At 36.8% G+C, this 18,273-nt stretch overlaps 1 long non-coding RNA gene across 1 annotated transcript, besides 1 other annotated feature; it reads right to left on the reverse strand.

Moving 5' to 3' along the window:
- Positions 1 to 2,103: 2,103 nt before the first annotated feature.
- LOC105373596 (uncharacterized) lies at positions 2,104 to 17,675 on the reverse strand. Its single transcript, XR_923293.3, has 3 exons — positions 17,615 to 17,675; positions 11,061 to 11,146; positions 2,104 to 6,008 (listed from the first exon to the last, which is right to left on the reverse strand). It is a non-coding gene; the product is annotated as an uncharacterized LOC105373596 (long non-coding RNA).
- Positions 7,026 to 7,730: an enhancer, noted in NCBI's record as "H3K27ac-H3K4me1 hESC enhancer chr2:123746771-123747475 (GRCh37/hg19 assembly coordinates)". NCBI's record gives its function as "activates a minimal SCP1, AML or CMV promoter by ChIP-STARR-seq in naive H9 embryonic stem cells {active_cell/tissue: H9 hESC(naive)}" and the evidence as "EXISTENCE:reporter gene assay evidence [ECO:0000049][PMID:30033119]".
- Positions 17,676 to 18,273: the final 598 nt, after the last annotated feature.

An 18,273-nucleotide genomic window follows, 5' to 3' on the forward strand; every position in this document is an offset into this window, starting at 1 on the left:
GCGTGAACCCAAGAGGCGGAGCTTGCAGTGAGCCGAGATCGGGCCACTGCACTCGAGCTTGGGCGACAGTGCGAGACTCTGTCTCGACAAAAAAAAAAAAAAAAAAAAAAAAAAAAAAAAAAAAAAAAAAATTAAGGAAATCCAAATAAAGTATGAACTTTAGTCAATCATAATATATCAATATCAGTCATTAATTGTGACACATACGCCACAGTAATATAAGATGTATTAAAAAGGAATCTGCATGTGATGTATACAGGGACACTTTTTACTCCCCTTTGCCATTGTTCTAAATCTAAAGTAAATATAAAATTAAAGTATTGTTTAAAAAGCCAAATGCATAGGAATTCACAGTAAGGGAAATGACTACAAGGTGTCCCCATTTTTCTCTCTTAACATGACTGTCCCTTTTTGAATATTAGACCAGAAAAAAAATGCATTCTTAAACATTCATTGTAAGCAATCACTTTTGTTTGAGTATACTTGAGTGAAAGATTTTTTAATGGAAAAAAATTTTTTTAAATGTAAATTACCAAAATTTATTTTTAGTTGAAACTAAATATATGTATATATAGGCATAGTCTACAATTCTCTTTGAAAAAAAATAAAATATAGGCATGTTTATGCACATTCTCAGTTGTGTTTGGATTTTACATCATGCAAAATTCAATGAGCTTCTTAGATGAAGTGATAATGGGAGTCATAAAATCATGACAGGCAATTTACACTTGACGAATCCGTCCCCATGAAATTTTGTATGAAAAAAATTAAACTGGGGCAAAGCTTGCTAAAACCAATCAATAGTGTGTGAATAATGTAGGTTAAAAAAAGGTCTTTGAGCCAACTGAATTCTGGCCACAGGAATTTTGGGGAAAATATGAGGAATATGTTTTGTCTAGTTTACCCAATGTGCTGATATTTACTCTATGGATTTGTAGGGGAAAACTGACTGGAATATGAAATAAAATTTGCTTTCCTCTTCATTAAGTCTACATTTGGACCACAGAGGAGAACAATCTGGTTACCTCCTCTGAGTCCAATATTTATGAACTGCAATTCTGGTTTATGTTCATTCAGATGACCAAGAAGGTCAGAGGCTTGGGACTCAGAAATACTTGGACTTAGACTCCAACTCTAATGTCTGAATGACGCTGGCAATTTGTACAGCTTTGAAAAACCTCATTTTCTTCTCCTCACATTCAGAAAATAATAACTACTTAATGTATCAGGTGTTTGATAACTGTAAAACAAATATTAGTTTTCTTCCTTTCTGTTTCCACTTTCCACACTCCCTCCTTCTCATATCTATGAAACAAAGCAAATGGAACTCCATTCATCACTTGTCTGATCAAGTCCAGTTAACCCACAAAATACCATTTTAATATTGTTCTGCCCAGAGTTCCCACCCACAAGAATAATTTTTGCAACAATCCGAACACTTGAATTATGATGGCTATGGGGATTTTTGTCTCCTTTAATTTCAGTGGAAACTATTCCTCTGCATTCAGATTTACAGAGCAGGTTGTTTCATGAAGCAGAATAGGCAGAAGTCAGAGTGAATATACTTATTAATACGGTGAAGCAAGAGAGAATATTCAATCAATATTTGCCGTTGTTAATGAGTCTGGCATACTTGGCTTGAGGCTTTGTTCTACTTAATTCAATTTCAATTTTTTGACTACAAAGAAATGACTGTTAATCCTCAAAAAGTGTCCATTTTTTCCTAAATTAAATATTTCATTTTTATGGTATCATCTGCTAATCCCCACAGTAATTGGTTTAATTAAAGGAAAACTATCCTCTTTATTTCAGTATGACTTATCCAAAATATTTTGTGGGTCTCTTCATAATTCTTACATCACTGAATTACTCTTAATTTATTTCCACAAAAATATTCCCTCTTATCTTCTATTCCTCAAGATGTCTATTATGAACACGTGGATACCAAAATTAAAAATATAAGGCCATTTACAAGAGGATCTCTTATAGAATAATAACCCAGTTAGAGAAAATATTTCTAAAAAATTATTAATAATTGTTTTATAATATATTTATAATACTTATTTTCATATTTACTTCATATATTATATAAAACTATAGTACTTTGTTATAACATTTTATTAATATCATTACATTTTGTAACATTTACACCATCTGAATGAGTTTATAGAAAGCGCTTGGTATTGGAGGAGTTTTGGCAAAAGTCTGAATGGGTGTCAGGGTGTTTACCTTCTAGCCACTTCCAAATCACATGATCTCAGGTGACTACTTTAATCTCTCTGATTTTCCATTATAAATGACAGGCAGGACTTTGAGATTTAAATTCTACCTTTCATGACTTTGGAAACATTATGCAACCTTTCTGAGCCTCAGTTTTCTTATTTGTAAAAGGGAGTTAATCATAGTATCTCCCTCATTGATACTGTGTATTCATTATATGTAACATACTTACAAACCTTATATAGTAGGTGCTATATTACTTTTCTCCTCTCCTATTATAAATACAGAGTTTTATTCCATAACATGCAAATTGTTTCTTACACTTAGGTGAGTGGAAGGATGAATATGAGAGTTTCTGGCTTATAGGTGCTTGAAATTTTTATTAAAGTTTGAACTGCATGTTTTGCAAATAATGCTCAGTGTCATAATAGGGTAGCTCCTAAGGAAGAGCAATTTTAAACTTTATTCTTTGATTCTACAATTACTTCTGGAGTACCTTCTAGTCTCCATGAACTTTTCTAGGGTTTGGAACAAAAATAAACAAATATGTCATATAGAAGATGGTTGGTGATGCTACTGCACGGGAATTTGTCTTGATGCAATGGGGACCTCTGTGCACACTATTAGGAAAGACAGCCCAGTGGGCACTAAGCAGCGAAGCTCACAAACAAAATCAAAATGCTCAATCACACAGTTATTGAATCGCTTTAAATCACAGAGTGAGAAGCAAGGCAAAAGAGATGACACTTAGCATAGGGTGCAAGTAAGAAGTCCTCACTGCCTGAATCCCGTGGCATACAATGCTCAGCTGTCCCAACACTCTCTGCCATGTCAATCTTTCTGCTGATGGTGCCACAATACAAGGACAGAATTTAGGTTCAAACAAAGGGGCCCACAGATAAGCAGTATCCTTGACCAATTACACACTTGCTCTATTGGAGAGACTCGGGGATGTGTAACTTGACAAAGCTGAAGCTTGACTGAAGAACAGCTATGGGATGAATGAATTAATTAATTAATATGAGCAGAGGATATTTGAGGCCAGAATAGGTGTCATCAGCATGTGGCTGAATTTAAAACCTCATGAAAATTAAGTATCCATGCCTGCTGACTATATGCTGAACATTTAGTGGCTCCTGCATACTTACATATAGTGGATATTTAGCTTGTAAATATCTCCCAGTACTTCTACTCCTTTCTGTTTAATACACATGCCCTATTTCCACATTACCTATCTCATACTTTAACATATCACATGCATTCTGCCCATATCTAACAAAAGTTTTGCTACTACTTATCTACCTTGAATATTCTGAAGTTTTTGCTTGTGTTTGGCAAACTGAAAATGTATTGATTAATGCACAAATACATTATAGATACAAAAAAAATCCCAAAGCAGGCTAATGATAGTTTGGCCCCCAAATCACCTATAACATTCCTACTCTCTGGTGCAGCACATGAATCAGGCCTTCCAATGGGAGAAGTTTCCCCACATTTCTGCACCGGTACTGACACTTGTGTCTCTGTCCTCCAGCCACTCTGGGTGCTGCTCCCTCAGTCCCTGTGGGCCTCAGTCCCACTGTCTCTAATCGGTGGTTAGAGCCTACTGAGTAGTCTGCTTCTGCCACCCTCTGCTCGTTCTTCGCTGAGACTCTTGGCATAGCTCCTCTCTCTGCTAGAGCTTGGAGGAGTTTTGCCTTCTTTGCTGCTTAGCGATCTCAGAAGCACATCTCAGTCTCCCTCTGGGTGGCAAAAAAAAAAAAAATCATTCCTTCACATGTTGATATGGTTTGGTTCTGTGTCCCCACCCAAATCTCACCTCGAATTGTAATCCCCATAAACTCCACATATCAAAGGTGGGACCAGGTGAAGGTAATTGAATCACGGGGGCAGTTTCCCCTCATGCTGTTCTCATGATAATGAGTGAGTTTCAGGAGAGCTGATGGTTTTAGAAGTGCCTGGCATTTCCCCTGCTTGCACTCACTTTGTCCTGCCACCCTGTGAAGAAGGTGCCTGCTTCTCCTTTGGCTTCCACCATCACTGGAAGTTTCCTGAGGCCTCCCAGCAATGTGAAACTCTTTCCTTCATAAATTACCCAGTCTCAGGCATTTCTTCATAGCAGTGTGAGAACGAGCTAATATACATGTCCTGTCTTCATTTTAGAGATATCATAGCAGAGTTGTATGAATCTCTCTCTCTAACCTATCTTTTCACCTATCTATCTCTTCATCCATTTATAAATGTATATTGCCTTGTATATTTTTGTTACACTATTCAGACCATGACTATTCTTTCAGCGGTCTCCATGTTCATTGACACATTCTGGTTTTCAATGAGCAACTTCAAATGCATCAAACAGGTTTGTATCTATCTGAATTCCAAAAATGATACATTTAAAATCATTTCCATAGGCTTCTCTGGCCGAATAGACATCAAAATTTTCTGCCGGCTGCCACTGAGAATGGAATGCCTTTTAATACTATAGGAACACATGTCTTGGCAATAAAAACCCTGATCACACAAAAGACACATAAATATTCTGTAATAAACTTTTGCTGTGGCTTGAAAGATATGGGGGAAAAATAAATACGATTTTGAAAAACTAGACAGGAACATTTTGAATAAGTAATATTTAAAATGAGAAAAGGTAATTTTGAGAGGTAGATACTGGAGACAGGGGATTGATTACTTAAAGAAAAAAATAAATAAATGAAAGCATGATGGTTTTGAGGTTGTTTCCAAAGAAAAATTGATAAATTTTTATACATCTGAAAATTGTGGAGGGAGGGACATTTGAATATGATTTCTACACAGATGGTGTTACGGCAGCCATTGACCTAACCAGTGATCTCTTATTTGCCATTTTATATTAACTTTTCATATTCCTCAAGTGTACAAGGTATGTTTTTGTTACATAAAGATATTTAGAATGTCTTTATAATGAATACTTCTGTGTTTTAATGTCACATTTTTTTCAAAATCTATTATTACATTTACTATTAAAATTAATGATTTCTTATAATCAGAAAAATATGCTATTAATCATATACTCTCAAGAATTCTCACCTAAGGAAAAAGATATGATTATAATCTAAAAACCCTTGAAAAGCCAAAATGTCAATTTGGTTCGCTTTTGGAATATGAAAACAGACTAGGATATAAGTTCACATGTGTCAAAACCATCCAGTTTTCTTCAGACACTCTAATCTTTTTGTTATGTCTTGGGTCTTGACTTCATTTGGAGTAATTACAAACTCTGCATTCAAAAAATAGCTACTTAAAAAACGAAGAAAAACTAGACATAATCACCATAAATGGATTATCTACTTCTCTTGAATAATCAGCACTTGTCAATCACCTATTTGTATTTCACCCTGTGTTGCTGCCTGCATAAAGCAATTAATCAATCAATTCAGACATTATTTTTTAAATTTAAAAATCTTCACTACAATAAAGACAAATGTAAAACTTTATCAATGCCCTTCAAAATGAAGACATCAATTTTATCTTTGGAATATCCTTAGGGAGCATTTGGTGTCAGCTAAGATGCCTCTATTTGCAAGCTAGAATGCCCCAAATCAGAACACAACATTGATTTTCTGCAATGACAAGAATTCCAGCAGTAGGAAAAACTCCAGGCTTGATGGCTTCACTGGTTGACTGCTGTCATCAATGATCAAGAAGTTTTCCATTCTCCGATTGGTCAGTTCTCCTCTATGTGCAAACTTTGCATTCACACTTGGTCCCAACATGGCAAAATGGTCACAGAAGTTGCAGGCACCATTCAGCTGCAAAAACCATTATAAAGATGAAAAGTACATTTGTTTCTTTCATTTATTTCTTATATGCAAAACATTCCATTAAGATTTATCTCCTGTCTGTATTGGAACATAAACCAATCACTCTCACAAGAAACCAGACTGCCATGATTAGTTTAGACAAATTATTTGTGAGTAGTAAAAATATTGAGGAAGGAACCACAAAGTTCTCTACATCAGGCAAATTTTAATGGGCATTTTAAGCCAGGCATTTGTAAGTCCTTTTTTTGTAAAGGGCCAGATGGTAAATATTTCAGGCTTTTCAGGCCACAGTGGGGGCTGCTGTGATGGGGCCAGGCTGGGTCACCCACCGGTGGAGGAGCAGTGCTGTCCCACAAAAAGGGGCCCCAAGGCACAGCTGGGCCCGGGGCAGTGCTGCACTTACACACAAAGCATGGGGGCTGGGCCCAGGGTGTGGAGCTGGGGCCACACTTTGGGGACCCAGGATGGGAAGTGGGAGCAGCGCCTGTTTTGGGGACCTGGCCAGCAGTGCAGCCACTGTGCCAACTCCAAGAGCACAGGATTCCTTTGCTTAGGAAGGAGGCTCTGCTCCAGGCCATCCTGCATTGGGGTGACCTCTGAGCCTGACTCTCCCAACAGGGGGAGCTCGTGGAGATGTAGCCCCTGTCCCAGACGTGAGCCCAGGCCCAGTAAGGAGCTAGAGCCCCAACCCCAGGCTCCAAGGGGGAGTGTCTCTGGCTGCATGCTCCACTGAGCCAGCAGAAGCTGGGAGTAGGCAGCAGCTCCACCCTCCCGGGCTGTGCAGCTGCAGCTGCAGCTACCCATGTTGGGGCTATGGACCCAGGTCTCCATGTGCTTTTGGGGACTGGGAGCAGGCAGGGTCCCCACCCACCTTGGGCTCAGCTGCACGTATTCAAGTTGGGGCTCTGGACTTGGGCATCTCTGTGCTCTTGGGGGCCCAGGAAGCACCCTTCACTGCCCTTGCAGGCTTGGAAGTGCATGCTTCCACCTCCAGCTTCTCTTTGCTGTCAGCACCCACTGCGATCTCAGAGCAACCTGGGGCCAAGCCTGGGTGCTCTCACAGCCCAGTCAGGGGTGCACACGCTCAAGGCAGTGCTGACAATGCCAGCCCCCTGCTGCCTCAGCTCCCCCTGGACTTTGGGTGCCCACAAGTGTGGGGGCTGGAGGAGGCTGAGGGGGTTCAACGGCAGCTCAGCACTGGCCTACAGGTGCCCCTTGGTGTAAGCAGCCTGGTTGCCATGGACTGCAGGCAGAAAGCAGACAGGCTCCTGAGTGGAAGGGATAGGTCCCTGGTGAGGTCCCACCTTTAGGTCAGGGAGGGCCTGAAGTCTGGAGATCGGGCTGCCAGTCCCTCAGACTAGAGTGGGAACTTGCAGTGCCTTTTCCAGGCCTGTTCACGGCCTACTGACATGCACTTCCTCCCTTTTGAGACCGTAAAAGCCTTGTGCTCAGCTAAAGCTGAACAGACATCAGGATGACCAGCTGCAGAGGGGAGCTACCCAATCGAGGGCCTCCTCTCTGCTGACAGCTGCAGAGACAGTGGGATGACCTGCCTGCAGAGAGAAGCCTCCCACTCCAGGGTCTCCTCTTTTCTAGGAGCTGAACACTTGTTTGGACACCCTGGCTGCAGAAAAGAGCTACACACTGAGGGTTTCCTCTGAGTTATTCTATTGCTCAATAAAGCTCTTCTTCATTTTGCTCATCCTCCACTTGTCTGCATATCTTATTCTTCCTGATCACAGGACAAGAACTCAGGATTCATCAAATGGCAGGGCTAAAAATGCTGTAACACAAACAGTGCTGAAATATGCCCCTTGCTTACCACGTTGTGGGCAAAGAGAAGAGAAGAGCTGTGGCCCTTTGGGGAGCCCAGAGCTGGGAGCTCCCTGAGGTAGGGCTATGACTCCCTCTTTGTGGCCCTGTGGTTCCTGGCATCTCCAAACTTCCAGGTGCTTCCGGGTTCCCAAGTGCCAGCTGTGGAAGTGGCTTGCAGTGCTCCTGATCCAGCCATAGCTTTGTACAGACCTGGCTCCCATGCTGGTATCTGGAGCTGTCCACGCCACTGCAACAGCCAGCCAGTGTGTCTGACTGTACAGTAGCCAGACCCCACATTTGCTCACATACCCCTCACTGCTCCATACCTTACTCGCCCTTGGCAGGCATGGGATCCAGGTCAGTAGTGTGAGCCAAGTGCAGTATGCCAGGCTGAGTGGGCAGAACAAGCACAGCGGGTCCGAGCAAAACTGGAGCAAATGTGCCACCAGGTACAGACATTTCAGGCCAGAAAAGTGACACCCCACTGATCCCATAACAGTATTATAAGAACGAAAAAACATGGCCAAGTGCAGCGGCTCATGCCTGTAATTCCAGCACTTTGGGAGGCTGAGACGGGTGGATCACGAGGTCAAAAGATCAAGACCATTCTGGCCAACATGGTGAAACCCCATCTCTACTAAAAATACAAAAATTAGCTGGGTATGGTGGCATGTGTCTGTAGTCCCAGCTACTCGGGAGGCTGAGGCAGGAGGATCACTTGAACCTGGGAGGCAGAGATTGCAGTGAGCCGAGATCATGCCACTGCACTCCAGCCTGGCGACAAAGCGAGACTCTGTCTCAAAAAAAAAAAAAAGGAAAAAAAGGAGAAAGAGGGAAGAAGAAACATGCAAAGACTCATAAGACAATGTGGTAGATGCTAAGATGGAAGTCAGTAGAGTATAGAGAGAGCTGTGAAACCACTGAAAATGTGACTTACTTCTACATGGAGGTGAGATTGGGCTGTCTCAGATTCCTTAATTAAACTAGCTGTCGAATAGTGAATTGAAATTAATGAATCAGGAACAAGAATATTCTAAGCTAAGAGATATTTCATGGAGGGGGAAAGCTGAGAAAGAATAATATGTGTGGTTCAGCACAAGTAGTTTCACAGCATGCACATGCAGTGCTCAATTGCAGAAGCTGCTTGGGGTGAGGAGGAACATAAATGATGAGGAGGCCTGTATGCTATGGGGAATGCATTGTCTTTCAAACGGAATCCCAATAAATTAAAATTCATTGATATTCTTTTTGACAGCAACAATGATGCAGTTTTGCAACAGGCTCAATTGCATTCACTTTTTATTTTAACTCAGAATACAATCGTCAAATATGTAAAGTTAAAAACTATTTTATTTTTAAATAATTTAAAACATTACATATTTGACAATTGTATTCTGAGTAGAAAATTATATATCCCCACATTTAAACTCGGTTTTGACTTTTGTACGCAATATAAAAGTCATAAAAACACATCTGTAAAATCCCAAGATCTCTTAACTATAAAAAGCCACAACATAGATAGATGATAATCCTAATAGGGCTGCAAACTGATACAGAAGTGTATCATGATGGCCATTTTCCACTATATCATTTGCATCTTATTAGCATTTTATGTCAAGTCTAGTTTATTTACTACCATATGGATTCGGTAGTGACACTTTCATGATAGTCATAAATAAACTTCAGATATAAAAATGCTGAGGAGGCCAGGCATGTTGGCTCATGCCCGTAATCCTAGAACTTTGGGAGGCCGAGGTGGTTGGATCACCTGAGGTCAGGAGTTCAAGACCAGCATGGCCAACATGGCAAAATCCTTTCTCTACTAAAAAATACAAAAAAATTAGCTGGGCATGGTGGCGGGCGCCTATAATCCCAGCTACTTGGGAGGCTGAGGCAGGAAAGTTGCTTGAATCTGGTAGATGGAGGTTGCAGTGAGCCAAGATAGCACCACTGCACTCCAGCCTGGGTAACAGAGCAAGGCTCCCTCTCAAAAAAAAAAAAAAAAAAAAAAAAAAAAACGTGGGAAGTGCCTCAGACAACCAATGATGTACCATGCCATGAAGTTGTTTGTAAGAAAAGTTGTGTTCTGTTCATTTTTATACTAATAATAATTTGCATTTTTCAGATTATTGGGGAATTATTTCTTCATATTTTCCAAGCACTTTGGAAGATATTTTCAGCCTTCATCTTTATAATTACTAAGCTAAGCTAGTATACGATCTAAATGATCAAGTTGATGAAATAATGTACTTGAAAAAGTGTTAGATTGTTTTAAATATATTTCAGTTGAGATTACTAACTTGGTAATTTTCTATGCTTTTATTACTTTGAGCCTTTCAGAATGAAATAAAAATGAAACAAGATTCTCTTTGAGAATCAGGTAAATATTAAGAGTAAGATTAAAAAGTGTCATAAATAAGGTGCCTCTTAGTTAATTTGAGGATATACTGGACACAACTAACTTTAACAGATTTATCAATAAATTTAATAGATGGTTCTTTGTATGAAATTAGGGGTTCTAAAAACCAGAACTAATTATTTTATCCATAGAACATTTGCTGAGGCTGTATAAAATTATGAACTAAAATTCAGTAAATTATGATATAGGCAGTTGTATTTAAAGGAAAAGCATTGTATTCAAAACTTTGCTAAGGACAGTCCTCACTTCAATACAGAGTAATTATGAATATCTTAGGAGTAAGACAGGTGATAGCAAAGAAGAAATATCAGTCCACTTCATGAACCTGGCAATACATACCAAACAGCAGAAGCTTTTAAAAATTAATTTAAAAACTAAACTCTACTTCTAAAAGAATTTAGATTGTAGTAAAAGAATTCAGAATGTAGTATTTTCACTGTTGTGCAAAATGGCAATCCTTATTCATCAAGAGAAATGAAAAGACAAGTTCCAAACTGAGGAAAGCCATTCATAATATACACCAGAAAAAAATCAAGAATGTATAAATGGCCCATGCATGCCAATAAAAAAGTATAAATAACACAAGAAAAAAAATGAGTAAAATGCATAGACAGGAATTACACAGAGGAGGAAATACATAAAGCAAAAATCATTGGAAGATATATTTAACATCACTAGTGATCACACAAAATAATGAAGACTACAAAATATATTATTTTATCTCTAATTATTTGACTCAAGTTAAAGTCTGACAATAACTTTGTATTCAAGAAGAGTACAAAATAATTAACCAAACTGATACTCACATAACTTATTGTCATTATCAAAATAGTTACTATCAGAAGAAGATAAAAGTTGTAAATAACTTTGCTGTTTGTTCCTGAGACTCTCTCTGCCAAACAACAAACGAAACAAAAATCAAAACAACAAAACAAACATTTACATATATATTAAACTATTCAACTCTTCTATAAATAGCATGAAATTGCAGTTTACATCCCAACAGTTTTCACTGCTTTCCTCAATATCTTCACTCTGCTGTGTTCATTGTTTTTCGCAGACAATCCTATTTTATGCTTACAATAAAAGACCTATCTTAAACTTTATTGAATACTTCATAAATATCTCAACTTTGCACTCCCATTCTAAATTGCAACTTAGACTTCATCAAGGTAGTGCTCTATCTTACTATGGTAAACTCATCTTAATCTTATCAGAAGTTATTATATGAGATATTTTCACGGATCAGGCTTTTACACAAAGGATGTATATTAGCAATTTACATTGCTTCTAGAGGTATAAACTGATGCAATACAATTTACATCTGACTTCTTAGAAGAGGCAACAGAGGCCAAAAGGCAGTGGAGTGCTCAAAGAAAAAAAAACTGTCAACCACAAATACAATATCCAACAAAGCTGTATTTTGAAAATGAAGGAGAAATAAATGAATTCCTAGTTAAGAAAAAACTAAAACAATTTGTTGCTAACAGACACATCTTACAAAAAATCATAAAGGGAAGTCTTCAAGAAACTAAGTAACCTCAGATGGCAATTCAAATCTGCAAACAAAAATAAAAAGCACTATGCAACTGTAAATGACAGTATAAATGAATATTTTCTCTTAACAAACTTAAGAAACAATTGTATAAAATAACATGTACATAATATATTGTTGGACATACAATCTATAGATGTGTAACATAAGGGAGGTGGTGGTAGCAAAGATGTATTGGGCAAAAGAAATGATTCTCAATGATAACACAAAAGCACAGGAACAAATGAAGGGAACCTGAATGGATAAGTAAGAAAGTTAATATTACAAAAGCTATAAATACATACTTATTTAAATTTTTTAAAAAATGTCAGCTTCTTTAAAAGACAAACTTCTATGAAGTAATTATTATAATAATACGTTTTTGGCTTAATAACATTTAAAGATGTAATGTGTATAAAAATAATGGAACAAATGGAAGGATAGTAAAATATAACTTTATATGAATAATATATCTATATCAGACAAGAATTAAGTTAGATGAGTATGAGTCTAGGACTTCTATGGTAAGCTCTATAACAACCAGAAAAGAAGTCATAAGAAATATACCTTTAAACACATTAAAGGAATTAAAACGCCACATTAAAATATATTCTCCTAGTGCAAATGAAAGCAGTAAAGTAGAAATAGAAGAACAAAAAATATAACATATGAGACATAAAAATTTAAAAGTAAAGTCCAAGACATAAATCTAACTCCCAAAATAAGAAAATTAAAAGTGAATAGATTAAATAATCCAATCAGAAAAGCAGAGATTGCAAGTTTTGATTTAAAAATATGATTCAACTGTATTATGCTATGTAAGACTTTAACTTAAATAAGTTCATTATGTTAATAATAGAAAAATATGTATTATGCAAATAGCTACCCCAAGAAAGCTGGAGGAGCTATGCTAACAAGCAGACAAAGTGGACTTTAAAACAAAAAATGTTACTAGAGATAAGAAGAGACATTGTATAAAAATTATAGGATTCATACAAAAGGGGAATATAAAAATTATAGGTATGTATGTGCCTAATAACAAAGCACTAAAATACATAAAGTAAAAACTGACAGAAATGAAGAGAGAAATAGAAAACAACGATAGCTGAAGCAACATTCTACTTTCAATGATGGATAGACCAGGCAAAATATCAATAAGAACATAGAAATGAACAACAACACATATATCAATTATATATAACTGATATTTATAGAATGTTCCACACTGAAAAGTGCAGAAAGTATATTATTCTCAAGTACACATGGGATATTTTCTGGTATAGGTCATACACTGCCTCCAGAAATAAGCCTCAATACATTTAAGATAACAGAAATATTACCTAGTGTGTTCTCTAACAATTGAACTGAATGTGAAATCAATAACAGAAAGAAATTTGGAACGCTTACAATATTTGGAAATAAAATAATGCAACTATTTTATTTATAAAATAAAATAACTAAAGAGGAAGAAATAAAAAGGAACATTAGAGAATACTTTGAGATAAATAAAAATGAGGATGCAGCATACTTTAATTATATAGAGTGAAGCAAAAGCAGTCTCAGAATGAAAATTATAGCTGTTAAATGCTTATATTAAGAAAGATGAAAGATCTAAAATTGGTAAACAAACCATCCAGCTTAAGGAACTGGAAAAAGAAGATCAAACCAAACCCAAAGCTAGCAAAAATAAGGAAATAATAATGATTACGGCAGAAAATAATAAAATAGAAAATAGAAACACAATAAAGAAAATCACGGCTGAGCGCATGTCTCACGCATGCCATCCCAGCACTTTGGGAGGTCGAGGTGGGCAGATCACAAGGCCAGGAGATCGAGACCATCCTGACCAACATGCTGAAGCCCCCTCTCTATTAAAAATACAAAAATTAGCTGGGTGTGGTGGCAGGTGCTTGCAATCTCAGCTACTTGGGAGACTGAGGCAGGAGAATTGTTTAAACCCAGAAAGCGGAGGTTGCTGTGAGCTGAGATCACGCTACTGCACTCCAGCCTGGCGACAGAGCCAGACCCTGTCTCAAAAAAAAAAAAAAAAAGAAAAAGAAAAAAGAAAAGAAAATCAATGAAATCATAAACTGGCTATTTGAAAAGATAAATTGTTTAGACAAACCCTTACCATCTGACTGGAAAAAAATTGAAGAGAAAAATTACTACAGTCAGAAATGAAAGAATATTCTTTACTATGGATCTTGTAGAAATAAAAAAATAGTAAGGAAAAGCATGAACAGGACATCCAAATGGTTGATTAAAATGTGAAAGATTCTCATGCTCCTTATTAATCAGGGAAATACAATTTAAAACCACAGTAATTTATAACCATATAGTTGCCAGAATGGAAGATAAAACAAAACAAACATCAGCAAAAACTGACAAGACCAAATGATAGTAATATGGCAGGACAATCATTATTCTAGATAGCAGTGCAAAGCAGAACAACTAATTAAGAAGGCTTATTCACATTATCTACTGACATTAAAAATATGCGCATGCTATGACAGAGCAATTTCACTCCTAGATATATATCAAAGATGATAATATGTGCATGCATTTCAAAGACTTGTTCTGGCACACACAGTTTTGCATTTTAACAAAAAAAAGAGCAATACAAAAGTTCAGAGTATAGATAGTTAGTGGTATATTGATATAATGAACTAGTATACAGCCATTAATGTGAACACATTACAGTTGTACGTAGTAACATGGATGGATTTCAAAAACATCATGCAGAGTAAAAGGAGCCAGGCACAAACAAATACACATTGTGTCTTTTTTATTTTATTTGATATTTATTTATTTATTTATTATTATACTTTAAGTTCTAGAGTACATGTGCACAACATGCAGGTTTGTTACATATGTATACATGCACCATGTTGGTGTGCTGCACCCATTAACTTGTCATTTACACTAGGTGTATCTCCTAATGCTATCACTCCTCCCTTCCCCCACCGCATGACAGGCCCTGGTGTGTGATGATCCCCACTCTGTGTCCAAGTGTTCTCATTGTTCTATTCCCACCTATGAGTGAGAACATGCGGTGTTTGATTTTCTGTCCTTGCAATAGTTTGCTGAGAATGATGGTTTCCAGCTTCATCCATGTCCCTACAAAGGACATGAACTCATCCTTTTTTATTGTGTCTTTATTTAATGCTGTAATAAATAGTTACAATGACAGGGAGCACAAAAATTTAGGCTTATGGATGCATGTTTAATTAGAAAAATTATGAATAAAAATTAGAAATAATTACATGGGTGTAATCAACTGCTCCCTTCATTCAATTTAACTAACTTGTTTGGCCCAATTACTAAAAATACCTTGGATGATTGAAAACCTCTCTAAACTTCTTTTGCAAATAGTTGTACCACATCTATGTGACTTTACTTTGTGAATTAACTGCAAAAAATGATGATTTCAACAAAAATAAATAGTTGCTATCTGACTTATTGTTTGGAGTTTTTAATTTTTAATTTTACCTTAATTTATTAAAGTAATATAAATTTAACATTGCATGTTCTCACTTATATGTGGAAGCTAAACAAATTTGATCTCATAGAAGTACAAAGTAGAACAGTGGATACTGGAGGCTGGGAAAGGTGAGAGAAAGTGAGGGACAGGGAGAGATTTGTTAAAGGATTCAAAATTACAGCTAGATCCAGGAATGAGTTCTAGTTCTAGTCATCTGTACCATGATGACTACAGTTAACAATCATATATCATATAGTTTCAAATAGCTGAAGGAAGGATATTGAAAGTTTGTGATACAAAGACATGATAAATGTGTGAGATGATATTCTAATTACCCTGATCCAATCACTATGTGTTATATGCATTGAAGCATTGCTATGTACCCCATAATGTGTATAATTATTATGAGCCAATGAAAAAAAGTGACTGCATGTATAATATTGTAATACTTTAAGATATAAACAAATTTGGCAAAAAATAAATTTAAATGCACAAACATAAACCTATATCCATATCTACACATGGGCTTGCAAATATTTTTTAATGTATTTGAGATCATTCTGTAGGTATAATTTTGTAATACTTTTTATTTTTAAAATAAAAATTTTGCATAATACTGCTATGAATAATGTTCAAATATCATTATCAAAGTTTGTATAATAGTTTAGGACTGCCTCTAAGTCTCCTAACCTTTCCAATATAATTTTTTTCTATATTTTCCTTCTATATTTAGCACTAGAATGAGTATCACTTCAAATTACAACATTCTCTGTATTCATGATTATTTATTTAATTTCCAGGGCAGAACCACTGTGTCATTTCAGCTTCATGTGAACTCTTTTTTAAGACTTTTGACATTTATTGCTAACATGCTTTCTCAACAGTTTTAACATGCTCACCAATAGTGTATCCAAGGGTGCGTTATTTCCTATCTCTTTGTCAGCATAGATGTTTCACAAGTTTAAATTATTTGAAAGATAGGAAAAGGCATCTCATGGTTGTTTTAATTTTCACTTATTTGAATTACTGGAGAGGTTAAATACTATACCATATGTTGCAAATTTATATTTCCTCGTTTAAAATTGACCCTTTATAACCTTTGTCCATTTATCTAATTTGACTCAACTGTTTTTTTCTATGGTTTCATACAACTTTTTATATAGTAAATGTTTTTATTTACAATAAAATATTTATTGTGTCTATTTTTGTATAGGCTTTATTTTTCCCCTGCTGTATTTATCTGATAATTTATCTTCCAAAGAAATTTGAAATCATTCTTTTCCTTGTTGAGTAACCATTTTCTTTTTTCTGAGATCTTATTTATTCAAAGATTTGATGTCTGTCTATATTTCAATTTATGTTTTGTTCCTTAAGGGCTTAGTATGATGCCACTAGACAATTTATTCTTTAATTTATTATGAATCTTTGTGGTTTAACTGCTTCTCTTTTGTCCCCTATAGAAGCCTTAGAAAAATCAACTATGATATATTATAATTAGACTATCTCTCCATATTTTTAAGCCAAAAGAGATCTCTATAAAGAATATTGGGTAAAATTTGTCATTTCACTCCATAATAAATTCATTGACTCATTCATCAAAGTTCATCAACATTTACCAAATGCTGGGAATTTTTCTACGCAATAAAAAATAGATGAAAAACAGACAGAAGACTTTGACTTCATGGAGAGTCCGTTTTTAGTGAGAATGGACAATATAAATAAATGAATAACATATATAGCATCCCTGGTGGTCATAAATACTATGGTGCAAAGTAGAGAATGACAACATGGCATTAGAGAGGGTGTGGGTGTTACTGCTGTTTTCAGGTAAAGGAAAGTCTCCCTGAGGGACATTTGATTAGGTACATGGTGCATGTAAGGAGTCATGGCACAAGAGCACTTGACGAAGAGGGAGCTGTAAGTGCACAACCCGACAACAGGAACAAGTTTCTCATATGAGGAGTAGGGCAAGAATGCCACTGTGGCTGTGCAGGTGAGTGAGAGTGAGAATACAATAAGACTGAAACTGCCTTTGTAAAATTATGACTGAGACAGTGAAAGAGATGTAACTTAACCAACTCCATCTTACTTCTAACCTCCGAGTTGTCCTTGTTCATTCTCAGAAGTAAGTGAATCTAACTTTGGGAAGAACTTAGTTTATAGTTAAAAACAAAGATGATAACAGCCCTTTCCCAAAACAAACTTCCTTCTTGCCCAGGAACTAGACTACTAACATTAGCCACAAGATTAGAAATTATGGTTTAGGAGCCATGCAGCTGGAGGCTACAAGATTCAGACCCTCCGTAAACAGCTCCTAAAATCAGTGCTTGAGATGTTTTGCAGACCTTGAACTTGGTGGATCAGCTGGCTCCACCCAGATCTATAAACTGGCTCTTCTGATCTCAGGAGTCAGTTCCAGGCTGGAACTGACTCAGAGCAAGAAGACAGTGACGCCCTATGATTTCATCTCCAACCCAACCAATCAGCACTCCTCAACTCACTGCTCCTCCCCACCCACCAAACTGTCTTTAAAAACTCGATCCCCAAATGCTTGGGAAGACTGATTTGAGTAATAATGATACTTCGGTCTCCTGTAGAGCCAGCTCCGCGTGAATGACTCTTTCTCTATTGCAATTCTTTTGTCTTGATAAATCGGCTCTCGTCTAGGAAGCAAGCAAAGTGAGTCCATTCAGCGGTTACATTGCGGTTGCTGATGCTCTGTTTCATTAAGGCAATAAAATTGGGCAATTTCCAGGGATCTTTCTGAAGAATGCCCCCACACAGGTGAAGTCTCCAGGCCACCCTGGCCTTGAAAACAAACATCTGTTTCTGAAGAGCCCATGCCCTTTTCATTCAGTGAGATCTGTTTCTTATATTGCATTAATCATTTTTAGACCTTTTTCTGAAGTTACACAACTGAGTCATGAGAGGGGCACACAAAGTTGCAAAGCAGGTGTGCATGCACGTGCACACACACACACACACATACACACACATTTTGAAA

This window comes from Homo sapiens, chromosome 2 (assembly GCF_000001405.40).
Source record: "Homo sapiens chromosome 2, GRCh38.p14 Primary Assembly".
Classification (NCBI taxonomy): domain Eukaryota; kingdom Metazoa; phylum Chordata; class Mammalia; order Primates; family Hominidae; genus Homo; species Homo sapiens.